At 37.2% G+C, this 26392-nt stretch overlaps 3 protein-coding genes across 26 annotated transcripts in view, besides 1 other annotated feature; 1 reads left to right on the top strand and 2 right to left on the bottom strand.

Annotated features, from left to right (window-relative positions):
* TMEM117 (transmembrane protein 117) overlaps positions 1-13766 on the bottom strand; it is a 603307-nt gene extending 589541 nt beyond the window's left edge. Inside the window, exons 1-2 of the mRNA XM_047429662.1 lie at positions 13748-13766; positions 13418-13593 (exon numbers count right to left, since the gene is read on the bottom strand). The gene's annotated coding sequence lies outside the window, so the exon portion shown is untranslated. The remainder of the gene's footprint in view (positions 1-13417; positions 13594-13747) is intronic.
* Positions 3076-3555: a silencer, noted in NCBI's record as "silent region_4370". NCBI's record gives its function as "represses an Ori minimal core promoter by ATAC-STARR-seq in GM12878 lymphoblastoid cells {active_cell/tissue: GM12878}" and the evidence as "EXISTENCE:reporter gene assay evidence [ECO:0000049][PMID:35858748]".
* TWF1 (twinfilin actin binding protein 1) lies at positions 3251-15845 on the top strand. Of its 6 annotated transcripts, none has more exons than NR_073473.2 (10): positions 3251-3347; positions 3683-3737; positions 4996-5073; positions 7104-7282; positions 9038-9133; positions 10066-10170; positions 11735-11860; positions 12116-12266; positions 12471-12592; positions 13813-15845. NR_073473.2 is itself a non-coding variant. In NM_001242397.2 (10 exons), the coding sequence occupies exons 1-10, from the start codon at positions 3323-3325 to the stop codon at positions 13981-13983; spliced, it is 1074 nt and encodes a 357-aa protein (NP_001229326.1). In that variant the 5' UTR covers positions 3251-3322; the 3' UTR covers positions 13984-15845. The 6 variants fall into 6 exon arrangements, 4 of the variants coding, with proteins under 4 accessions (NP_001229326.1, XP_047285154.1, NP_002813.3 ...); NM_001242397.2 differs by lacking the exon at positions 3683-3737 and adding an exon at positions 10983-11003; XM_047429198.1 differs by having other exon boundaries at positions 3566-3737.
* IRAK4 (interleukin 1 receptor associated kinase 4) overlaps positions 20027-26392 on the bottom strand; it is a 30591-nt gene continuing 24225 nt past the window's right edge. For all 19 annotated transcript variants that reach the window (XM_011538431.3, XM_006719438.4, NM_001351338.2 and 16 more), the window contains 3 exons: positions 25844-25906; positions 23011-23169; positions 20027-22888 (listed from right to left, as the gene is read on the bottom strand). In XM_011538431.3, coding sequence (XP_011536733.1) covers positions 22853-22888; positions 23011-23169; positions 25844-25906 — 258 coding nt within the window. In that variant the 3' untranslated portion in view covers positions 20027-22852. The remainder of the gene's footprint in view (positions 22889-23010; positions 23170-25843; positions 25907-26392) is intronic.

The raw sequence follows: 26392 nt of genomic DNA, 5'->3' as shown, positions 1-26392 counted from the left end.
TGAATCATACTGTATTGTAATGTATTGTGTTAGACTTAATTCTAACAAAATATGAAGCCTAACATACATTGAGCATTCATACATGTTAGAGCTTCATAAAGTCATATTTCACTTGATTTTCATGACAACCATGAGACATGGGTATGACATATAACAAGAGAGAAAATGGAGACTTAGGTTAAATAATGTTGTTCATGGTCATACAACTTCTATGTGTTTTTAAAAATTTTACAGCAGGGTTTCTTCTCTAGGAAAATCTAACGCAAATAGTGCAGCTCTTTATAATTACCTCACCAAGTAAAGAAGAAATGAATCTATCAAAAAGGTTTCAATTCAGAGAAGAAACAAGATGGATGGATGAATGATTTTTTTAGTTTCCTGTGTATATGCACTATACACAAACATGTATACTGCTCACATTAATGTGGCACGCATCATAGTCTCTTCTATGGTAAAAAGACTTTATGGACGCTGTGATTTTAAAATGTCATTATTTGGCAATTGACCACACAGATGATCTAGGTCAGAAGTCCTAAACTACCATTTCATAGGTCAAACCTGACTTGCAGTTATAGTTCTCTTTTTGTTTTGTTTTCCTACATAATTGAAATAGAGATTTTACATAAAATCCCAGTTTCCGACATCACTTGCAAAACATAAGATTGGTCACCTTGCGCTTGAATTCCCACAGAGCATCAGTCAGTCAGAATTGAATTGAGTAGTAGTAGCTCCTTTTTTTTTTTTTTTTTTTTTTTCTCCCCTTTGAGACAGGGTCTGTTGCCCAGGCTGGAGTGTAGTGGGGTGATCATGGCTCATTGCAGCCTCTACCTCCTGGACTCAAGTGATCCTCCCACATCAGCCTCCTGAGAGCTGGGACTACAGGTGTCAGCCATCCCACTTGGCCTAGTAGTAGCTCATTTTAGATGGATCCTGTGCTCCCTCTCATTGCCACAGTCTCCATTTATTAGCTTCATTCATTTATGTTATTTAACTGACCCCATAAGCATTTGTGTTTTGTGACCACCATCTTAGGTTCTAAACATTACCTCTACCAAACTGTAAAAAGTAGGAATTCTACACCTGTTTCCCACACCCAAGATCCATCTCCCCTCCTGTGATAATTGCCTTTCACTCATGGGCAGTGTATATTGGGTAAACCAGCCACCTTGGCCAAGAATGATTTGACACAAGCCAAGCAGGGTCATTCACGTGCTTTCTCTTAGGAACTTTAAACTTGGACTTAGAAGAGCTATGTAATCTCTGCATGCAGCTACAACCCTGTCAATTTGGAAAGTGTAGGGTAGCCATATTCAGCCATTTTGACTGCACAAGCAGAGAGATCTTATTTGGAGAAAAAGAAGAGAAAAGCAGAGGTGACAACCAAGTTGTCAAGATCTATAAGATCCTCCAATATCCTTATAATAAACCCTCTTATCTGCATACATTGTTTTCAAATGGTTTGTTTCTTACAGACACTTGTCTTAGCCTTGAAACCTGCTGACTTCCCAACTCTGTGGTTCAATTTCCAAACCTCTTAAAGTTAAAAAACAAAACCTGCTATTTTTTTCAGCTCGTCACACAGGATGTTGGTACTCAAAATAAGTCTATTATATATTATTTGTAAACTGTAAACTACCATACAAATCTAAGGTATTATTCTCATGACAGCTCTGGCAAATGTTCACTAAATGGAGACACAATAGATGAAGAAAAGTGGGAAAATATTTGTGGCTAGAGCAGAGCAAGGTACCCAAGACGCTTGCAGCTTTTAAGTCAAACTATTGTACTGGCAGTAAATAAGCACTTTCTGGTGGCTGTCAGGGTGGTCCCAACCTAACTAGACATTCCTCTTCTTCAGGACTGAGAATACAGTGGCCTTTCCCAAGCACGAATATGGAAGGATTATATTTTGCTCAACTATACTTTTGAGCAACGCCAACTTCCTTAAGCAATTTCCCCGAAGCACTAGGACATGAATCAGTCAAAATACTGCAAGTCAACTCTGCAATTTTCTCTCTGCTCAGCAATGTAGTCAAAAACTGGTAAATCAGGGTGAACCATTGTGTCAGGAAGAATTTGATTAGAATGAAACTCCTCCCTACATTTCTTAAATCCATACAAGTCATAAAACTCAGATTTAGTTTATTCCTGAATATGAGAATATGTCTGAAAAACAGAGCTCAGATAACAGGCAATAGAACATAACCTTGTTTGCTGTGATTCTTGTAAAGAAAAACAATTGCAGGCCTGTTCATCACTCATGAAAAATACATCGTATAGTACTGGAACAGTGATTAACTTGCACTTATATTATTGACCTGAATAAATTATTTCTTCATTAGCAGATTATAATTTTGTGTATGTGTCACTTCAAGGCCCTAAAAATAAGAACTAGCTTCCCACCTAGTAGCAGTAGAGAAGCAGTACCAAAAAAAAACCAAACCCCCCACAAAACTAACATTACCTTTCAGGAAGGAACTACATGTTTGTAAAAGCAGGAAAGGAAAAGATTTTTAAGTAATATCTGCTGCTACCTTACAAATCTGTCCAAGTGAATTTTGAATAATTACTGGATTAAATAATAAACTGCCAACCTAAAGCAGAGCAGGATTTGCAATGGTATAATCGACCACAGAGGGATACTCAAATCAGCTAATCTCTTAGTGGCTGTCTCTTTCCGGAGTGAAGAGAAAGATACACTGAGTCTCTAAATGTGTCCAGCTGAAAAGAAAAGTTAACAGTCTGAGATTAACTTAATTTAAAATCGTGGAAAAATTTGATGAGAGGCAGTCTATATTAATTCTTTCAAAACAATGGAGCAAGGAGAAGGCTTTTCTACACTAAACGGTATCGATTATAGGAAGAGTAAACCAAGAAAAATAATGTGCACATCTTTTTTAAGCTGGAAAATGCCTATTTGGTAAAATGATCACTTCCGTTTTTGAGCACCCCTTTGCTGAGGCAGCGAATGGCGGCGTCGGCGGGGTTGTCAGAGAGCAGACGTCGGAGCACTGAGCAGTCTAGATTCTGCGGCATGTCCCCCCCGGAAGAAGCGGGAGAGGCGGCGGCAAGAGCAGAAGCAGGACCCCAAGCAGAGAACTAGGATAGCGAGGCCGGGGGCTGGACCGCAGCCCGGCGGCCAGGAAGGGCGGCGGGGCGGCGGGGACGCTCGGGCACTCAGTCAACCTCACGGGGCGGGGCGGCCGCGGGTCGCGGGCGGATGACGCGCCGGGGCCGGCGGAGGAGCAGCCACTTCCTGGGGCCGCCGGCCGGGGCCGCTGGCTGCACTCAGCGCCGGAGCCGGGAGCTAGCGGCCGCCGCCATGTCCCACCAGACCGGCATCCAAGGTAACAGCGCCCGGCGCGACTCGCAGGGAAGGGGCTTCCGGGAGAGCCGGGAGAGCCGGGAGGGCTGCAGGACCGGCAGGGCTGGAGTCGGGCCGGGAGCTCCGGAAGTCGGTCTCGCGGGGCGAGCCGGGCCTCGGCGCCTCTCCGCGCTCCTGCTTCCCGGGCGCTGCCGGCCTGCGTCCTCCTCCAGCCCGGTCCCTGCTGCCGTCACGTTGCAGATTGATCCGAAATTCGGGGGAGCGAAGGAAATTGGCTTTCGAGGCGGCCTGGTTGAAGGGGGCGTGCCTTCCACCGTCCCCGACAGTCGCCCAACTTTCCCCCTTTTGGTCACGTAGGGAAGAGCTGGGACAGTGGAGGCGACTGGGGCTTCAGTACGCTGTCGAGAACCAGGCGAGTTTTCTTTTTCATGGTCCAAAGGAGAATATTACAGGACTTTGATTACAAAAAGAACCATGCCAGAATCTTTCTCACATCAGTAGGGGTGCTTCCCAAAACTCTCCCGCATTTTCTCTCCAAATAGGAAAATGAGAGTTATGTTCTGAGAAATCTCGAGTGTAAGCGTGTGTTTTGATCTTTTTCCTAGATACTCCCCAAGGGAAACTGATCTGTATGGTTGCATGTAATGCGTGCAGACAGTTCAATATGCAGTTATATCTGACCTCCATTATTTCCTGGTTTGAAATTGGGCAGCCTGCAGGTACTCACCTCATCAAGAGTCAAATAATATATCCCCGGGTTACTCGCGATCACTTAACGAGTTCTAGTGTAAACTCAAGCTCTTACTGTTAATAGCGAGTCTTTCTCCCAGATGAACACTTAATTGTATGTTTTATTCGTAAAGATTTTTGACACCACCGCACACATCCCCCTGCACGCACGCAGAAGCAAAATAGTCTCAAATCTGAAAACTTTGTTTTATTTATCCGCATTAATTTCGATATATAAATATGTAGTTATTGACTCTCATGCTTGAGCCTTATAGCAAGCACTACCTACTTACATAGTGGTTCTTGCTGCTAATAGACAACACAGGAACGAAATTAGAACGAAATTGAAGCTTTAATAGGAACACAAGGGTTAGTTATTAAATACATATTTATTCAATGAGTTTAATCTAGCTTTTGAGAAATGCAAGTTAGAAAAATATAACCAGAGTTAAGACTGAATGCATTTTATTGTCTTTTTCTTTAAACAAGTTAGGATATTTGATATATACTGTTGTTTTTAACGGGAAAATACAGAAAGTGAATTGATGAAGGAGTGTCTGTCATAAGCTTGAAACTGAATTAGAGAATGAAAGCAGGTTTTCAATATTTTTCAAAAGAGCAAGAAAAGTTTTTCAAAATTGTAATTTGCTCATTATTGGGTTTGAGTAACTTCAGTATATTCACCCCAGTGTTATTTCTGCACAGAATTATGTAGCTAAAACAGATTAGAATTATTAACATACTTTTAAAATGCTAATATTTATATTTCTTAATTGTATACAGTCTTCGTTATTTTATGCGGTAAAGTTTTATAATACTGATAATAAGGATGCTACATGCTCCAGATTTTTTCTTTGTATTCTAATTAACTTTTCCAATATAGATAGGAAAGTATTTATATGTAAGTATAAAAAGTTTACTTTCTTTATCTTTTTCCACAGCAAGTGAAGATGTTAAAGAGATCTTTGCCAGAGCCAGAAATGGAAAGTACAGACTTCTGAAAATATCTATTGAAAATGGTTAGTTAAATATTTTAAAATATTTTCTGTTCCTGGATTAGTGGCTGTTGTATTTTTAAACTTACTGTGTGTTGTCAGTGATTTGAACTATTAATTAATATGAAGCAAGTTCAAATCTTACGGTAACTTGGATTCCTCATATTTTGTGCAGGTCCCTATGGGCCCCTAATTTCATTCTGAATTATGTGACTATCAGGGAAACAGAAAGATGTTTTTTGATGTGACTTCTTCCTCTTTTACTTTTTGTGTCTCAGTTTCTGCACCACAGTCCATTTCTAATGTCAGTGCTTCCATCTCTGGAATGGAAATCACTAAACAGGTGATTATCAAAAAAAAAAAATAGTTACTTGTGAATTATTCAATTAAGTTTGTTTTTAAATATAAACAAAGGATATCAAACTCCCATTTTCTCCATTTGATTGCAACCTTTGCCACAGAAATGATCATTTCCCTTTCTTGTTTTGGGAAAGTTCTGAGAATATAACAAACTACAAATTGATTCTTTAAAAATAATTCTGTAAACAGGGAATCTGGTTGAGTGGGAGAATCTTTTAAATCAGGCAGATTTGAATTTGAACAATTATTGTTATAGGTACTCAGTCATAAATGAATATATTAAAATATTCCAGTGGCCTAATTTCTTAAATATCTGAAAATATTTTGCTTTGGAAAAGTAACTTGTTCTTTCACAAACTGGAAGTAAATCTAATTTGTTTTCTATTTTCTGCTTATATAAAAAATACCAGAATAGTTTGTAAAATATGCATTTGTTTACATACAACATTCAATAGGAATATATGTATATTGTAAAACAGCATATTTTAAAAATACTGAGCTAAAATTTTTAATGCCATCACTTCCTAAGTGACTAGTTAAGGAACTAAAATGGAAAAGTTAATCTAACTAGCATCTCTACGGAAGGAAAATGGCACTACTTCCTAAGTTATTATTTTCTGGTTTTACTTTTTTGTTTTGTGAAAATTTTTAAATAAGGAAAATTCCAAAGACTAAAATTGTATCATAAATACCTATATCTCCCCTTTATTAATAACTGCTAACATTTTATCTTATTTACTTCAAGCATTTTAGAAAATTCAGTGTTTTTCTGGTATAAGAGCATCCCCTTTAAACAATTTTGCTTCTGACCTCCTTACCCTGGGGCAACTACAATTGGGAGTTCTGATACTTGTGCAGTCTGTTTTTACATGTATCCCTAAATAGCATATAGTGCTCTTTGAGTTTACATAAACTGCATGATACCATCTTACTCTGTATCTTTCCTTTTTCTGAAAATGTTCCATTTGCAATTAGTTTTGATAGCTCAATAATTCATTTTAAATCTGAACAGAATGTTATATGACTATGCCACACATTATTTTTGCATTGTCTTATTGATGAACATTGAGGCTATAACTTCACTGTTACTGTATAGTGCTGCAGTGAACACCTTTGTATTTATGTATAAGAGATTCTGTATGCATAGTAGATTAACAGTTTTACTTGATTCTGCTGAATACCATTTCAAAGTGGCTATACCAGTGTATACATCTAGGCAAATGTTTAAATCTGTAGCATTATGGCCAAATAAAAAGGAGTTAAACATGGTTTTATTTAATATTTCTTACTGTACAATTCATTGTTAATGTCAGAAATTATACTTTTGAATGGTAGTTTAAATATATTTTGTTGATAACTTAAGCTCAGACATTTTGGAAAATAGAAATGTAATGACTGTTATAGGTCATTACATTATTTGACCATTCAGTTCAACTGTTATGATCATTTTTATATGTTTCTTTCTTAGGCTGTGTATATTTTAAACATTTTAACCATGTTCATAAAAAGTTAACAGTTTTTATAATACTCTATGTCATAATTACTTTCTATGTTACCACATTTTTCTTTTCAACTTTTTGATGTGAATAATAGTAACTGGGAAATGACTATATATTTATTTTTCTAGTCTTCATCACACTACCACTTGATATCTCAAACCATTTACCTATCTTTCTAAAAATAATTTTTCATAGAGCAACTTGTGATTGGATCATATAGTCAGCCTTCAGATTCCTGGGATAAGGATTATGATTCCTTTGTTTTACCCCTGTTGGAGGACAAACAACCATGCTATATATTATTCAGGTTAGATTCTCAGAATGCCCAGGGATATGAATGGATATTCATTGCATGGTCTCCAGATCATTCTCATGTAAGTAACTTTTTTATAGTTTGTTTAACATTAAATGCTAGAAAAATGTTTTTGAAATTTCTAGGTCAAATAAAGGTTAAAAAACAATAATTATTTCCCATAGAAGGGAATGATCATGAGGAAAATCCTTGGATTGATAACGGAGAATCAGGAATAATGTGCTTAGATTCGGGAGTTTTGCCCTTGAAATCAAAATAATTATTACTGATTTAAGATTTAAAAATTTGTGGCAATGGCAATTTTTTCTTTCTTTTTTAAGGCAGAATCTCACTCTGTCACCCAGACCAGCTTGCTGTGGTGCAGTTTCGGCTCACTGCAACCTCTGCCTCCCAGGCTCAAGTGATTTTCCCACCTCAGCCTCTTGAGTAGCTGGGATTACAGGCATGTGCCACCACGCCCAGCTAATTTTTATATTTTTAGTAGAGACGGGGTTTCACTGTGTTGCCCAGGCTGGTCTCAAACTCGTGGCCTTAAGTGATCCACCCACCTCGGCCTCCCAAAGTGCTGGGATTACAGGTATGAGCCACTGTGTCCAACCTAATTTGTGGTAATTTTAAAATGACTCCATGGGCCTCTGAAAAATGAAGGAAACTGCCTGGCCCTGAGAGTAATAATTGTAATAAATCTGAGAACTAATTGAACATAATATTAAATTTTGTTAGTATTATCATACATTTATTAATCGCTACCATTCAAGTGATGGGCCTGCATACAAACAAGTATTTTAGGAAAGCTGGTAGTAGATTGACTGTATAGAACAATAGACAGAATTAATATATGAATATGGCCCAATATTTAAAAAATTAATTTGAATTTTTCTTATTAAAAAATAATTATTTTTAAAGTTATCTAGATATTTTCTCAAAAGATCATCCCATTCCTCTTTAATTCCCCATGTTCTATCTGAAAGAAATACTGGGTTTGACCATGCAGGATTATGAAATTATTTGTTAATTGGTAGTTATCTTTAGTAGCTTTCCATAGATACTAGTTGACTCTTGAATTTTTTTTTCCATCTTTGTGTCCCTCCTAGAATGGTATGTGCCATCGGTAAGCCGTGAATTTTGATTCTTAACAACTTAATTCGTAATCTTTGATACAGCTTTGAGAAGAATGTCACTATCAAAGTTACTTCATTTCAGTTTTCCTCATATTTTAATTTTTTATTCTTGAACTTATGAGTTTGAAAAATGAAGAATTTAAACAATTTATATTTTTTTCAGCTTTAAAATGTGGCCAGGCACGGTGGCTCATGCCTGTAATCCCTAAACTTTGGGAAGCCGAGGCGAGTGGATCACCAGAGGTCAGGAGTTTGAGACCAGCTTGACCAACATGGTGAAAGCCCGTCTGTACTAAAAATAGAAAAAATTAGCCAAGTGTGGTGGCGCACACCTATAATCCCAGCTACTCGGGAGGCTGAGGCAGGAGAACCACTTGAACCTGGGAGGCAGAGGTTGCAGTGAGCTGAGATCATGCCATTCCACTCCAGCCTGGGCAACAAGAGCAAATCTGCGTCTCAAAAAACAAAAAAAGTGACATTGTAAATTGAAGTCCATCTTACTAACCATTGATAGTTTAGATGCCCATGTTAATGACGGTTATTTGTACACACGTATTTTAGCATATTATAGTGGGTGGACTTCAGCTCAGTTTTGTTTTTAATGTGATTCAGGATATTAATATATTCAGAATGTGCTTGCTTTTGTAATGTTATGTTTTCATCTATAAACTAAGTAAACTTTCACAACTGAATAGGTTCGTCAAAAAATGTTGTATGCAGCAACAAGAGCAACTCTGAAGAAGGAATTTGGAGGTGGCCACATTAAAGATGAAGTATTTGGAACAGTAAAGGTATTATGTTTGTATGTGGATTCTATATGTTGCAATTAAAATGATTAAAGAGGAACTCCTAGGTAATGGGTAATTGATACGAATTCAGATGGATAATCTGAAAACATGAGAATAAGAGAAATACTGTATTTCATATAATATTAAAGTTAGCTGTAATGAATATGTAACTTTGAGTTTATTCATTTGTATCTATTTGACATTGACAAGTGATATTGAAACATACTGATTCTTCTAAAGTATATGGTAAATATATGTATTTACACATATATACACAAATTGAAACACTGAAATATATTTTTGAACTTTTTTGTTTGTTTAGAGCTTTTCTGATTCAGAAAGTCATATAATCTAGTGGATAGAGCACAAGACTAGATGGGAATATATTGCTTCTTCACCATTAATTGTGAAGTGGGCTGGTTTCTTAATTTCATGAGTCTCAGTCTTCTAAACCACAAAATTTTGATGATAGGTAGACCTCTTTGTAGTATTTTTTTCTTTTGACATGAAAACTATAATAATTTTCCATGAATAATTACAAAGAAATTATATTAAGCATTATAACATAGTATTCAGAATCTGAATATGTTGATTATTGGATAATCATTGGGCAGTTTTCTCCAGAAGGTTAATTACAGTTGTCCTATAGACTTACAGGATGACCAGGTTCAGTATTTCACTTTGCCAGTATGAAACTCATACAAAATATTTAGTAATTATAAAGCTTCATATAAAATGAACAGTGGGTACTCCCCTTAAAAAGTTTTGAAACTTAAAATTGAGGATTAAAGAAAAGTAAAAAGATATTAAAATTCATAATGCTATTTATTTTCATTTAAAATCTTTTCTGTTAATGATTTTGTTTTTCCTAAAGTAACTTCACTGTCATTTTACTTCTAGAGAATTACTGATTATAGTCTATTCTGTACTTACAGGAAGATGTATCATTACATGGATATAAAAAATACTTGCTGTCACAATCTTCCCCTGCCCCACTGACTGCAGCTGAGGAAGAACTACGACAGATTAAAATCAATGAGGTAAGTTACAACTACAAAGTCTTTGCAAGATTTTAAGTGTTTGAAAATACTGTATTTTTAATTAATAGATGTGGGAGGATAACTAGAGATTAAAGAAGTTAGGTAGCTTAGGTTTATTCCGTTTAGTTTAGAGATAAGGCTATGTGCTTAATGCCTTTTCAGAAAAAAAAAGTTAAAATGAATATTAAACTTTATATGCATTTTATAAATAGCTTTTCCTATAATCTTCATGTCAGAATAGTAAATCTTCCTTTTGAAGTACAACTGTTGTGAACTTTGTACTTTGAATATTATATAGAGAAAAAGTGTGTGTTACCCATTTAGTGCAAAGAATGTATCTAATAAGGTTGCCTGAAGCAGATTATTGTTTTGTTGGCTTTCTAGAGAGTCTACAAATTAACTTCTATGAACTCTACTTGAATAGAGATATATATGGAAGATTATTATTTGAGTACCTGTTGAGCATATTAGAGTCAATAAATTTCAGCCATATTATTTTGTAGTTTATCATTATTTTTAATGTGTTTTCTACAGCCATTCTAACATACTGGAATAACTACTGTATTTCTACTGGGACTTTACAGAAAAGAACAAGTGGCTGAAACCACTATTCATTAGCTGAAACCACTGTTCATTAGCCTGAGTCACAGACAGTAGGAATCAGTCTGGAGAATGGTTGAATATCATTTAATATTAAACTGGTAGCAAGGATCTATCATATTATTTTAATTCATATTATTTGAGTAGGGCTTTTTATGTGATTTTTTTTTTTTTTTACGAGTTTGATAGTTTGTTTTATTTCTTGCAATCAGAGCCCAGAGGATCATATTGGGGTATGCATTCGCATATGTTCTATGATGTTTTCATTAACCAATATCATTTATGCTGTAGAATCTCCATTCATTTTTTTAAAAGTAAAATTTCTATTGGACTTTCTGTTGCAACACTGCGAATGAGACTCTCTACTAGCTATCATTTATCAAGTATAAAAATCTTAAACATGTGCATTGAATGCTTTCTTATCTTTCTCCTCTTCCAGTACATGCACACCATGTTCTTAGTAAAGAAATCTCTTAAGTCTGGAACTTCTGCAGTAGTATAACTTGTTGAGCTGTGTTGTCTTTGTACACTGTTTGTACTCCTTTCAATTCAGTGCATGATGTTTGTGTTGCATTTTCTGTCCAACAGAACAAAGTAAAGTTCTATACATATTGTATGTAGATTGTTGTTTATAAATTCTATCAAGTAAAATTTTACAATCAGTGGTGTAATCTGATGACACTCTAAAGAAATTGTGCCAAACCAAACATAAAAACAAACCCACCCAAACCCCACTAACTGTACACTCATTCAAATGTTCACTTCCAACATTGTCGTAAAGATGTGTCATGCACTCTGCATGTTGACAAAATGCTAGCAGGACCGTAAACAAATGTGAAAAATAATTTTAATTATAGGTTGGGCTAGGGTTGAATGATACTATTTTATAGAGGTTGGGTTTTCTTATGTTTGCCATAGGATACTGCTAACTGCTAAACTTGTAAATTAAATCTGTCATACTTAGGTACAGACTGACGTGGGTGTGGACACTAAGCATCAAACACTACAAGGAGTAGCATTTCCCATTTCTCGAGAAGCCTTTCAGGCTTTGGAAAAATTGAATAATAGACAGCTCAACTATGTGCAGTTGGTAAGAGATGTATAATGATTATTAAGTGGCTGCTCTTTTTGGTAGTTTATGACTCATATAGGGTTTATTATTAATGGATTTTACATTTTAAATAGCTTTCTGATTTCTAAAATTCATTTTGTAAATGTTCATTGTGAAAAAGTCAAACCATCCAGAACTAAGTTCCTCCTTTATCTCTTGGTCTTTTTATTATATGTTTTAACTTAATTTCCTTATATCTGGTTTTAATGAACATATTTTGTTTCTTATTGGCAGGAAATAGATATAAAAAATGAAATTATAATTTTGGCCAACACAACAAATACAGAACTGAAAGATTTGCCAAAGAGGATTCCCAAGGATTCAGCTCGTTACCATTTCTTTCTGTATAAACATTCCCATGAAGGAGACTATTTAGAGTCCATAGGTATATGATACATTGTTTTTAACACATTACTTTCAGTTTGTTTATTGGTGTATCAGCCCTATATTCTTACTTATTTCTTGCCCAGAGGGCTTAGCTGTAGTTTTATGAAGTTTCTGTACTTGTTTTTATGAAGTTTATATATGTAGTTTTATGAAGTTTATGTATTGATATGCTAATTATATTTGTTATTATTTGAACTTACAGTTTTTATTTATTCAATGCCTGGATACACATGCAGTATAAGAGAGCGGATGCTGTATTCTAGCTGCAAGAGCCGTCTGCTAGAAATTGTAGAAAGACAACTACAAATGGATGTAATTAGAAAGGTAGCCCACCTATTTTAAAATCTTCAGTTTTTGCTAAATTTTTCTTTTCATTTCTATGTAGTTTATGATGTACTGTGATTTATAAATGAAAATATTTATTTTTCTTGTTATCATCCTAAATCCTTAGGATCTCCTCTAAGTGCCTGGGAACTACCTGTCATGATCCCCATCTCTATATATATCTGTACTTCCTAGTAAGCCACATGTGGCTATTTAACTTTAAATAAGATTTAAAGTTCTGTTTCTTAATTCCACTAGCCTTATGTCAAATTCTCATTAGCTAAATGTGGCTACTGGCTACCGTATTGGTTAGTGCAGAATTTATAGGACATTTCCATCAGTGCAAAAAGTCCTATTGGACAGCGCTGCCAGAGCTGCATACTTGTGATTATTTCTACTGCATATTAATAAGGAATTACAGTCTCCATTATGACTGAATTATGGGATGGTTGGGAGTCTTTCCAGTTTGGGGGAAGGAAGGAATAAGCATAAACATTTGAATTTTGGGAACTAAGCTACCAATTTTCTTAAATTTTCTTAAGTACAGATAAGGCATGGGGAAAGATATATATTCTTGAGCCCTTAAACTCATAAAAATACAGGTCCTTAAAAACTACCAGTGTTTTTAGGTTCTGAACCCTTCATGCTTTTTAAGTTCCTAAGAATCAATCACTTTATCATGGGTAGCACCTTCTATAGCAGGGATCAGCTGACTTTCTACAGAGGACCAAATAGTAAGTAAAGGCTTTGCCAAGCCACATATAATCTCTGTCATATATTCTTATTGTTGTTTAACAACCCTTAAAAAATGTAAAACAATCTTACCTTGGGCAAGATTTGGCCTTCGGGCCATGGTTTGTTTACCTCTCTTGTAGAGGGCTTTCAAGTGACCCAAGTGATGAAAGGGTCATGAGTAAATGTTCCTTGAATAAATAGTGTATCATAGCAACTTGAGAATGTAGTGGTGGCTTCTACTTTTAAACATTATTTAAACTGGAGCACTAAGAAAGAACCAAGAAGGAAGTGAATGTAGCTGATTATATATTCAAGTAACTCATTTAGCCCCTTCCCCCAAAAGAAGAAAGTGAAACTGTTTACATATGGTCCTTGATTCTGCCTTACTGGAAAGGGTATTATTTGTGAGCATTCATATACCTGAAAACCAGCTTGTTGCTTGTATTAGGTTTTGAATGTTGTGCTTCTAATTTTATCTTTTACAGATCGAGATAGACAATGGGGATGAGTTGACTGCAGACTTCCTTTATGAAGAAGTACATCCCAAGCAGCATGCACACAAGCAAAGTTTTGCAAAACCAAAAGGTCCTGCAGGAAAAAGAGGAATTCGAAGACTAATTAGGGGCCCAGCGGAAACTGAAGCTACTACTGATTAAAGTCATCACATTAAACATTGTAATACTAGTTTTTTAAAAGTCCAGCTTTTAGTACAGGAGAACTGAAATCATTCCATGTTGATATAAAGTAGGGAAAAAAATTGTACTTTTTGGAAAATAGCACTTTTCACTTCTGTGTGTTTTTAAAATTAATGTTATAGAAGACTCATGATTTCTATTTTTGAGTTAAAGCTAGAAAAGGGTTCAACATAATGTTTAATTTTGTCACACTGTTTTCATAGCGTTGATTCCACACTTCAAATACTTCTTAAAATTTTATACAGTTGGGCCAGTTCTAGAAAGTCTGATGTCTCAAAGGGTAAACTTACTACTTTCTTGTGGGACAGAAAGACCTTAAAATATTCATATTACTTAATGAATATGTTAAGGACCAGGCTAGAGTATTTTCTAAGCTGGAAACTTAGTGTGCCTTGGAAAAGGCCGCAAGTTGCTTACTCCGAGTAGCTGTGCTAGCTCTGTCAGACTGTAGGATCATGTCTGCAACTTTTAGAAATAGTGCTTTATATTGCAGCAGTCTTTTATATTTGACTTTTTTTTAATAGCATTAAAATTGCAGATCAGCTCACTCTGAAACTTTAAGGGTACCAGATATTTTCTATACTGCAGGATTTCTGATGACATTGAAAGACTTTAAACAGCCTTAGTAAATTATCTTTCTAATGCTCTGTGAGGCCAAACATTTATGTTCAGATTGAAATTTAAATTAATATCATTCAAAAGGAAACAAAAAATGTTGAGTTTTAAAAATCAGGATTGACTTTTTTCTCCAAAACCATACATTTATGGGCAAATTGTGTTCTTTATCACTTCCGAGCAAATACTCAGATTTAAAATTACTTTAAAGTCCTGGTACTTAACAGGCTAACGTAGATAAACACCTTAATAATCTCAGTTAATACTGTATTTCAAAACACATTTAACTGTTTTCTAATGCTTTGCATTATCAGTTACAACCTAGAGAGATTTTGAGCCTCATATTTCTTTGATACTTGAAATAGAGGGAGCTAGAACACTTAATGTTTAATCTGTTAAACCTGCTGCAAGAGCCATAACTTTGAGGCATTTTCTAAATGAACTGTGGGGATCCAGGATTTGTAATTTCTTGATCTAAACTTTATGCTGCATAAATCACTTATCGGAAATGCACATTTCATAGTGTGAAGCACTCATTTCTAAACCTTATTATCTAAGGTAATATATGCACCTTTCAGAAATTTGTGTTCGAGTAAGTAAAGCATATTAGAATAATTGTGGGTTGACAGATTTTTAAAATAGAATTTAGAGTATTTGGGGTTTTGTTTGTTTACAAATAATCAGACTATAATATTTAAACATGCAAAATAACTGACAATAATGTTGCACTTGTTTACTAAAGATATAAGTTGTTCCATGGGTGTACACGTAGACAGACACACATACACCCAAATTATTGCATTAAGAATCCTGGAGCAGACCATAGCTGAAGCTGTTATTTTCAGTCAGGAAGACTACCTGTCATGAAGGTATAAAATAATTTAGAAGTGAATGTTTTTCTGTACCATCTATGTGCAATTATACTCTAAATTCCACTACACTACATTAAAGTAAATGGACATTCCAGAATATAGATGTGATTATAGTCTTAAACTAATTATTATTAAACCAATGATTGCTGAAAATCAGTGATGCATTTGTTATAGAGTATAACTCATCGTTTACAGTATGTTTTAGTTGGCAGTATCATACCTAGATGGTGAATAACATATTCCCAGTAAATTTATATAGCAGTGAAGAATTACATGCCTTCTGGTGGACATTTTATAAGTGCATTTTATATCACAATAAAAATTTTTTCTCTTTAAGTTGTGTATGTTCTGTTGGTTTTTCTACTATAGTTTTTTTAATTGTTTGTGTAATGTTTCATAATTCAGTACCTGGTGTTAGGTTAGGAATCCCATTCATTTATTTGTTAATTAGTCTGCCTAAGTCCAAAAAGGATTTTAAGTAGCTTTAAACCTAGGCAAGAATAATTGTGACTATAGAGTGCTTAGATTAAAAATTTGCCACTGTTGTAGCAATAATAAAAATGCCATGAGTTATTCATTTTCTGTAACAGAAGCACCCCAGTACTGATTTACTTGACACTAAACTCAGACTTGCCACTGTATTCATTCATGTGAAAAATGTTGAATGCACTCCTGTGTGCGATTTGGTTTCAAATCCTTTTTATTAGAGATGTGACAAGATGGATGTCTTTGGTAGCAGTTTTACAAAAGATGCTGAAATAGCTTTAGAAAGGCTCATCGTTGGGCCGGGCACGGTGGCTCACGCCTGTAATCCCAGCACTTTGGGAGGCCGAGGCGGAGGTCAGGAGATCGAGACCATCCTGGCTAACACAGTGAAACCCCGTCTCTACTAAAAATACAAGAAATTAGCCGGGTGTGGTGGCGGGCCCCTGTAGTCCCAGCTACAGGCTGGGCAGGAGAATGGCGCGAACCTGGGAGGCGGAGCTTGCAGTGAGCCGAGATTGCGCCACTGCACTCCAGCCTGGGCGACAGTGCGAGACTGTCTCAAAAAACAAAAGGCTCATTATTAAAACTTTTAAACATTTAAGCTAAGGCATTTCTACTCAGAGCTAAAATAATGTACTAATGTGCCTGAGGTACGTACTGTAAACAGTTTGGTGTATATCCTTTCACATTTTCTTTGCAAATAGAGCCATAAGTTTCAGGATGGAATTTTTGTTGTTGTTTAGATGGCATCTTGCTCTGTCACCAGGCTGGAATGCAGTGGCGCAATCTTGGCTCACTGCAACCTCCACCTCCCAGGTTCAAGTGATTCTCCTGCCTCAGCCTCGCCAGTAGCTAGGACTACAGGTGTGCGCCACCACGCCCAGCTAATCTTTGTATTTTTAGTAGAGATGGGGTTTCACCATGTTGGCCAGGATGATCTTGATCTCTTGACCTCGTGATCCACCCACCTCGGCCTCCCAAAGTGTGGGGATTACAGGTGTGAGCCACTGCACCCGGCCTGGAATGTTCTTTTTTAAATAAAATACTAATTCTGGGCTTCATACTAGATTTTGACCCAGTAGGTGGGTCCAGGAATCAAATAGTTCTACAAATGATTCATGGCTAGCCATGACTGGGAACAGTTTACCTTAAATCATATAAATTGTAGCTCTCCCCCACCCCAATTCAGCCAACAAACTGAAGTTTTACACTGTACTAGTTATGATAGTGGCACTATCTCATAGAAGAAAGTTTAGGTCTCACTGTTGCCCAGTAGCTTCTACATGATTTGCCCGTGGCTCTCTACCTTCCTTGGTCAGTCTGCTTCAGTTCATTGACAGCTCTCTGTTCCTCTAGTAGACCAAGCACAGCCTCAAGGGCACTGAATGCGTTCCCCACGCTGGATCACTCTAACCCGGTATCTACATGCCTTCCTCACTTACAGGTCTCTGCTCAGGTGTCAGTGTCATCTCCTTAGAGAAGTCTCCCCTAATTTCCCAATCTGATTGTACTCCTTGTTCCTCTCACCTTAATCCTGCTTTATTCCTCCTCATGGCACTTAGGTATTCTATATCTGTGCCCATATTGTCTCTTCCACTAAAATACAAGTTCAATGGGGACAAGAAGCTTAGTTTCATTCACTGCTACATCCTTAGCACCTAGAAGTTTCTATGATATAGTGGGCATTTTTCAATTTATTGAATGAATAAATGAATTTGCCTTTCCTTGAAGAACAGCTGTGAAAGGAGCACATGCCAGCAGTGGTAGGTCACCAGAGGATCTGGCCTCCATCATTTTCTTTCTGGCCACAGGAAAACTCACTAGCACTGGCAAAATCTCTTGCCCTGCGAAAGCCATGGGTTCTACCACACAAAATGGCAGTACTGACCCATTCCTGAGCATCAAATGCCTTCCAGTAGGGATCTTCATTCAGCTGATTCTGTGCTCCAAAAAGATTGATACCAGCCTACTCAACTGTCAGTGCTGCTGCACTACCACCCTCATTTGCTAGGATTCAGCCAGGCTGTAGTTTCTTAGTGAACTCTGGATGGTTAATGGGAAAGAGGCAAGCCATGAACAGGGGTTAGATTGCATTTCTTAGTTTTCTATTACCAAGCTGTATTTATAATAAGACAAACTGGGCCACATCCTTGTGTGTGTGTGTGTGTTTCTGACTGCCACTTACTGGCTACATGACTAAATCATGATTTAGTCATACTAATGCATCACAAACTAGGTGATTTTCAATGTGATCTTCATGGTAGCTTATACCTGTAATCTTCATACTAACGAATAACAAACCATACCATACTAATGCATCACAAACTAGGTGATTTTCAATGTGATCTTCATGGTAGCTTATACCTGTAATCTTCATACTAACGAATAACAAACCATACCATACTAATGCATCACAAACTAGGTGATTTTCAATGTGATTTTCATGGTAGCTTATACCTGTAATCTTCATACTAACGAATAACAAACCATACCATACTAATGCATCACAAACTAGGTGATTTTCAATGTGATTTTCATGGTAGCTTATACCTGTAATCTTCATACTAACGAATAACAAACCATACCACACTAATGCATCACAAACTAGGTGATTTTCAATGTGATTTTCATGGTAGCTTATACCTGTAATCTTCATACTAACGAATAACAAACCATACCATACTAATGCATCACAAACTAGGTGATTTTCAATGTGATTTTCATGGTAGCTTATACCTGTAATCTTCATACTAACGAATAACAAACCATACCATACTAATGCATCACAAACTAGGTGATTTTCAATGTGATTTTCATGGTAGCTTATACCTGTAATCTTCATACTAACGAATAACAAACCATACCATACTAATGCATCACAAACTAGGTGATTTTCAATGTGATTTTCATGGTAGCTTATACCTGTAATCTTCATACTAACGAATAACAAACCATACCGTACTAATGCATCACAAACTAGCCCCCAGATGTGATTTTCATGGTAGCTTATACCTCTAATCTCACACTTTGGGAAGCTGAGGCAGGAGAATTGCTTGAATCCAGAAGTTCAAGACCAGCCTCAGCAACAGAGTGAGATCCTGTCTCTACAGAAAATTAAAAAAAAAAAATTAGCTGGGCACAGTAGCACACACCTGTACTCCAACTACTCAAGGTGCTGAGGCAGGAGGATCACTTGAGCCTGAGAGATCAAGGCAGCAGTAAGCCATGATCACACTGCTGCACTCCAGCATGAGTGACCAAGTGAGACTCTCCAAAAAAAAAAAAAAAAAAAAAAAAGTAGCAGTTTAAAACAACAGCTACCCTCCCTCACAAATCTACAGTTGGCTGACCTCTCATGTCTCATGTATGTTTGTGATCAGCTGGCAGGTGGGCTGATTAAGGATGACCTCATCTGAGATGCCTTGTCTCTGTTTTGCATGGTCTGTCATCAGCAGCATGTTACCCTTGGCTTGTTCTCATGTCAGTGGCAGGGTTCCAAATGAGAGAAGTAGTGCATTAGTGCTTTTGAGACCTGGGCTTGGAACTGACCATCACTTTTTCTGTAAGCAAGTTACAAGGCCAGCCCAGATTTAATGGTTGAGGAAATAGACTTTACTTCCTGATGGGAAAAATTACAAAGCCATATTGCAAAAGGCATCAAATATAATGAGTGGAGAATTGCAGTCTAATACAATGAACAAGGGAAAGAAGTTATTTAATCATTGGGGGTCTCAAAATTTCCTCAAGAAGTAAAAGAATAGAACCTACATTGTAGATTTATCAAATCAGATCATGCTTCTAAAACTCAGCACAATGTTTGGCACAATAACTTTCAACATATGACAGAGAAAATGATTATGATTAATATGATGCACAGACATCGTGTTAGTGGTAAAGATCGCAAACTGATACCAGATGCTAATTTCTGCCACGCAACTTATTAGCTATATAATCTTGGGTAATTTCCTCATCTGTAAAATGTGATTATTACCAAATTCATAGGATTGTTATAAAAATTAAAGCACTTCAAACAGTATTCATAAGTGTTTAATAAAAACAATCTATAACTTAAAAATTACAAATTTATATAGTTAGCCCGTTTTGCATCACTATAAAGGAATAACTGAGGCTGGGTAATTTATAAAGAAAAAAGGTTTGTTTTGGCTTACGGTTCTGCAGGCCATACTAGCACGGCACCAATATTTGCCTGGCCTTTGATGAAGGCCCCAGGAAGGTTACAATCACAATGGAAGGCAAAGGGGGAGCAGACTCTTTTAAGCCACCAGATCTCACACGAACTGAGTGAGAACTCACTCATCACCAGTGGCTCTAAGCCATTCATGAGGGATCATCCACCATGACCCAAACACTTCCCATCAGGCCCCACCTCCACCCCCAACACTGGGGATTACATTTAAACATGAAATTTGAAGGAGACAAACATCTAAACAATGTCATTCTACCCCCAGCCCCCCAAATCTAATGTCTTTCTCACATTGCAAAATATAATCATCCCTTCCCAAAGTCTTAACTCATTCTAGCATCACTCAAAAGTCCTAAGTCTCATTTGAGACTCAAGGTAAGTTCCTGCCGCCTATGAGCCTCTGAAATAAAATATAAGTTATTTATTTCCAAGATACAGTTGGTGGTACAGGCAATAAGTAAAACATTCTTGTCCCAAAAGGGAGAAATTGGCTAAAGAAAGGGGCAACAGGATCCTGGCAAGTCTGAAACCCAGCTGGGAAGACATTAAACTTTAAATACTGGCACTTTGGGAGGCCGAGGCGGGTGATCACGAGGTCAGGAGATCAAGACCATCCTGGCTAACACAGTGAAACCCCATCTCTACTAAAAATACAAAAAAAATTAGCTGGGCATGGTGGCGGGCACCTGTAGTCCCAGCTACTGGGGAGGCTGAGGCAGGGGAATGGCGTGAACCTGGGAGGCAGAGCTTGCAGTGAGCCGAGATCGTGCCACTGCACTCCAGCCTGGGCAACAGAGCAAGACTCCGTCTCAAAAAAAAAAAAAAAAAAGCCCTAACATATTCCTTGATTCCATGTCCCACATCCTGGCACACTGGTGCAAGGGGTGGGCCCTCGAGGCCGTGGGCAGCTCCACTCCTGTGGCTTTGCAGGGTGCGTGGCTTCCCTCATGGTTGAAGTTGAGTGCCTGTGGCTTTTCCAAGCTCAGAGTGCAAGCTGCTGGTGGCTCTACAATTCTCAAGTCTGGAGGGTGGCAGCACCCTTCCCATAGCTCTACTAGGCAGTGTCCTGCTGGGGTCTCTGTGTTGGGGCTCCAACCCCACATTTCAGTACGTACACTATAAGCCTCCCGCTGTACATGCTCTGTATAATTTCCACATACCCCTCAAATGTGGGCAAAACCTGTAAATATCATGGGAAATCATCATGGGAAAAACATCATGGGAGAGTATCTGTATTTGTTTTCTATTACTGAATAATAAATTACCACAAACTTAAAGGCTTAATGTGACCCATTTATTTATTTATTTATTTATGATGGAGTCTCACTCTGTCACCCAGGCTGGAGTGCAGTGGCACGATCTCAGCTCACTGCAACCTCTACCTCCCTGGTTCCAGCTAGTCTCCTGCCTCAGCCTCCCAAGTAGCTGGGACTACAGGTGTCCACCACCACGCTCGTCTAATTTTTGTATTTTTAGTAGAGACGGGGTTTCACCATGTTGGCCAGGCCGGTCTTGAACTCTTGACCTCAGGTGATCTGCCTGCCTCGGCCTCCCAAAGTGCTGGGATTTACAGGTATGAGCCACCACATCCAGCCAATGTGACCCATTATCTCACAGTTCTATATATTAGAAGTCCAGCACAGAACAGATAGATTCTCATACTGAGGATCATGCAAAGCTGAAATCCAGGTGTCAGCCCAGGCTGTGGTTATCATCTGAAGCTTGGAGTACTCTTCTAAGCTGACTCAGATTTTTGGCAGAATTCAGTTCCTTGTGGTTGCAACTGAGGTCCCAATTTTTTTTTCCTGCTTGCTGACAACTGGAAGGTAGGTCTCATCTCCTAGAGGCCACCTTTAGGTTTTAGCCAATGTGGCCCTCTCACATACTTCTTCAAGGCTTACAAGGAGAATTCTTCTTGCAAGGGTTCACTTGATTAGGTCAGGCCCTTTCAACAGTCTCAAAGTGAGTTGTTTAGGAACCTTAACTGCATCTGCCAAATTCCTTCAACTTTGTCATGTAACATAATCTAATAATGGACATATCATTATGGCAGTATCATCAAGGGATATTTTATTTGTGGTTAAATGATTGCTGTGAACACAATCTATAAATATATGACTAATAGGATTTTGTAACTGGCTCTATAAACTTTAAATTTTGTATCATTTTACAATTTACAAAGTGCTTGTATATATTTTGCATCATTTGATTTTCATGACTACCTGTCAGAGAAGCACAGCAGATATTAGCCCAATGTTATTAGTGGCTCACAGCAGCTAAGTGTATGTCCAAAGCTTTACAGCAAATTAGTAGTGGAGTCAGCTGGGCTTCAGATCAGAGTGTTTCCACCCTACATACAGCCCAGGCTCTTTTTGCTAACCCTGTAATTTTCAAACTGTGTTTGGTGATGCTTGAAGGAGATTTCTCAGGGATTACTGTAAGAACTGGGGGTGATACTAATGGGTAGGGCTAAGTGTTGATATGGTGGCTCTATTTTTATATTTTGGAAGTTCAACCCATGCTTTAATAACCACTGTCCTGCAACAGCCTATGCCTTGTTAAAGGTAAAGAAGAATATTTAGGAAAAAAATCAGTTAAAAAAATGGTTGAGATAGGTGTATATAAAAAGTCAAGAGTCTTTTCCAATAAAGTTTTAAGAAGCTGTCATCTCTTGCAGCAGCTGTTGAACCTTTTAAAAAGAAAGAAAAAAACAAAAGAACCACATTATACAGTTGCTTTAAAATATACACTCTGGAAAATATGATGAACCCCACCCCTTTCACTTTTTAAATAAGTATAAAAAATGCATACCTTCTTAATGTCTGGTCTCTTATTTTTCTTTTCATGCAGACATTGACTAGCAACAGAGTACATAGCTTCAACTGAAGTGGAATCAGCATCATTCATCTTTTTATCAATATAATCTTCAATTGTCTTTTCTTCATCTTCAATTTCTTCTTTAATATCTAGCTTTAAAATGAGTGTTAAAACTTTAAGAGCTTCAAATCATAGTGAAAGAAAATAGAATATATATTTTAATTATTTAAATTAATCTACTTTGTAATAACATGTGCTCTCATTTTACTATCTTATCTTAAAACCTTATTAAGAATTGAAGACCCAGCCTGGGCAACATGGTGAAACCCTGTTTCTACTAAAAATACAAAAAATTAGCCAGGCATGGTGGTGCATGCCTGTAATCTTAGCTACTTGGAAGGCTGGCAGGAGAATCGTTTGAACCCAGGAGGCAGAGGTTGCACTGAGCCGAGATCACGCCACTCCAGCCTAGGTGACACAGCGAGACTCTGTCTCAAAAAAAAAAAAAAAAATTGAAGACATACAGGACAAATCCTATGTAAATAAGTACAGCCATCCACCACAAAATGACATTTTGGTCAATTGGTCAATGACAGATCACATATAGATGGTGGTCCCATAAAATTATAATACCGTATTTTTACTGTACCTCTTTTATGTTTACATACACAAACACTTACCAGTGTGTTACAATTGCTTACAGTATTCAGGAGAGTATTATGCTGTATAGCATACGTTTGTAGCCTAGGAGCAATACCATATAGCCCAGGTATGTCGTAGGTCATATCATCTAGGTTTGTGTAAGTACACTCTATGAGGTTCACACAATGAAACTGCCTAACAACACATTTCTCGGAATGTATTCCTGTCATTAGGCAACACATGGCTGGGTATGTGTATATATATATATATAAATATATATATATACACACATATATATATACAAATGTATATTTAATTATTTATACCTCCTAGATACTTCCACCCATTTGCCTTCCAATTTTTATATCTATGTTATGAGCTAATTGCTTATATGTTCCCATTAGCAGCATTTACTAGGTGGGCAGCACAGGGTGGTCTGCTTCTTGATGTGCTTCTAATAGCGCAATTCCAACTTTTGGACCCTGACTCCTCCTCCCTGTACCCAACAAATTTCTCTATGGGTACTAAGGTTGTTGAATCAAAGAGAAAAAAGGAGGGGAAAAAATAGGGAGCAGGCCATGATAAAAAAAAATTAACAGGGAGAGAAGTGTAGGAATAAGATCGTGGAGTTGGGTGAATCATGGTCCCCCAAAACATGTCTATGTCATAATTCCTGGAACCTGTGAATGTGATCTTATTAGGAAAAGAAGGGCCCTTTTAGGTGTAATTAAGTATCCTGAGATGAGATCATTCCAGATTATGGCTAATCCTGGAGGTAAGCCCTACATCCAATGAGCAAGGCAAGATTCTCTCTGGAGTCTCCAGAGAGAGCATAGTCTTGCCCATACCTTGATTTCAGACTCTGGCCTCCAGAACTATGAGCAAATAAATTTCTGTTGCTTTAAGTCACACAGTTTTTGGTATATTTTTATAACAGTCCTAGGAAGCTAATACAGATGAAAAAAACTATTCATGAGAGGTAGGATGTAAACTCTTCAAAACCACTTTCAAAGATAAATTCTGAAAATGTTTGACAACGGCAGAATCTAGTGACATAACGGTTCTTCAGATGATCACTTTTTTAAAAACTGTGCTTGTATGAAAATCTTATTACTTTAGAGTCACATCACAGTCAAACCTTAAGAATGGGTGAAAGAGTAAAACCTTCTCCAAAGATTTATGATTTTCACTATTATATGATGAAATGCAAAACTTGTGACTGAGATACAGCTTATGTTTTTCTGCATTTCATTCTTACTCAAGCCAAAGTTTTGAGGCTTTTATATATTTTGAAGGAAAAAGTCTTAGGCAAAACGATGGAAAACTTAGGTAAAGTATATGCTGCAACTTAGTGAATCAATCTGGGTTCAATCTTGAGCCCTCCATACCCACAGAGGAGGTCATAGGAACTCCAACTTGAAGGCAGTTGGTCAGAAGTTCTGGAGGCCTAAACTTACAACTGGTGTCTGGTGGGATGGCAGTCTTGGGGACTGAGCTCTTAACCTGTGGGATCTGACTCTGATGCTATGTCCAGGAATGTAGTGTCAGAATTAAATTGGAGGAGATCCAGCTGACTTCCGCTGCAAAGTAGATTGCCTGCTTGTTGGTGGGGAGAAACCCTTCCCAGTCGCATTTGGTCACAGAAATCTTCTGTGTTGATTGTTGTTGTGGTGTGAGAGCAAAGGAAAAACATGATATGAATTTTTCCTAACAATAGCAAATTTGGTATGTTTTTTATTGTAACTTTGTAAATAAAATACCCCATGATAGAAATAAGTGATAACTTTTACTAGCAATTTTATTCTGAAAGAAATTTGAATGGAAGCCTTTTTTTTCCCCCCTCTGAAAATGCTGGAAACACTGTTATTAACAGTAGCCACCCCAAAAGTGACACAAAATAAACATAAGCTAAAGAGGACCTCAGAAATCATTTAGTTCTATTCTCATTTTACCCACAAAGAAATCAGAACAAAGAATATATAAGTGACTTTTCTAGGCTTCACAAATACTTCATGGGAGAGCTGAGAATGAAAATATTTAATGCTTTTTCCATATGCTGTCGTGTAATAGCCAATGGAAAGATTGCCAATAGAAAATGTTATTTTTAGATGTCAAATTTATCCATATAAATTTAGACTACAAAAGCAGAGAAAAAAGGATTGAGGAAAATGAATATTTCATTTACCAATAACTGAGGTTCACGGTGTTCATCCACAGCTGGAAGTCCAGTTATTATTTCTAGTAAAACCTATGAAGACAAAAAAAATCATTAATATAATACACAAGATAGGCTGGGCACAGTGGCTAACGCCTGTAATCCCAGCACTTTGGGAGACAGATGTGGGAGGATAACTTGAGCCCCGGACTTCACGACCAGCCTGGGCAACAGTGAGACCCTGTCTCTACAAAAAATTTTAAAAAAACATTGGCTGGGTGTGGTGGCACACACCTGTAGTCCCAGCTACTTGGGAGGCTGAAGTGAGAGGATCACTAGAACCTGGGAGGTTGAGGCTACAGCGAGCCATAATTCCACCACTGCACTTCAGTCTGGGTGACTGAGTGAGACCTTGTCTCTCTAAAAAATATATATATTATACATGATATTAATAAATTATATATATAATACTCAAGACAAAAACTAGAATGAATATGAATCTTGCTTACAAAATTTGATTAATCATTCTATACAAAGCTATGTCTTTTAGATATTAAAGTGGAAAGAACATGAGCTTTG

This window comes from Homo sapiens, chromosome 12 (assembly GCF_000001405.40).
Source record: "Homo sapiens chromosome 12, GRCh38.p14 Primary Assembly".
NCBI lineage: Eukaryota > Metazoa > Chordata > Mammalia > Primates > Hominidae > Homo > Homo sapiens.
This window is presented reverse-complemented; position numbering and strand designations above follow the sequence as displayed.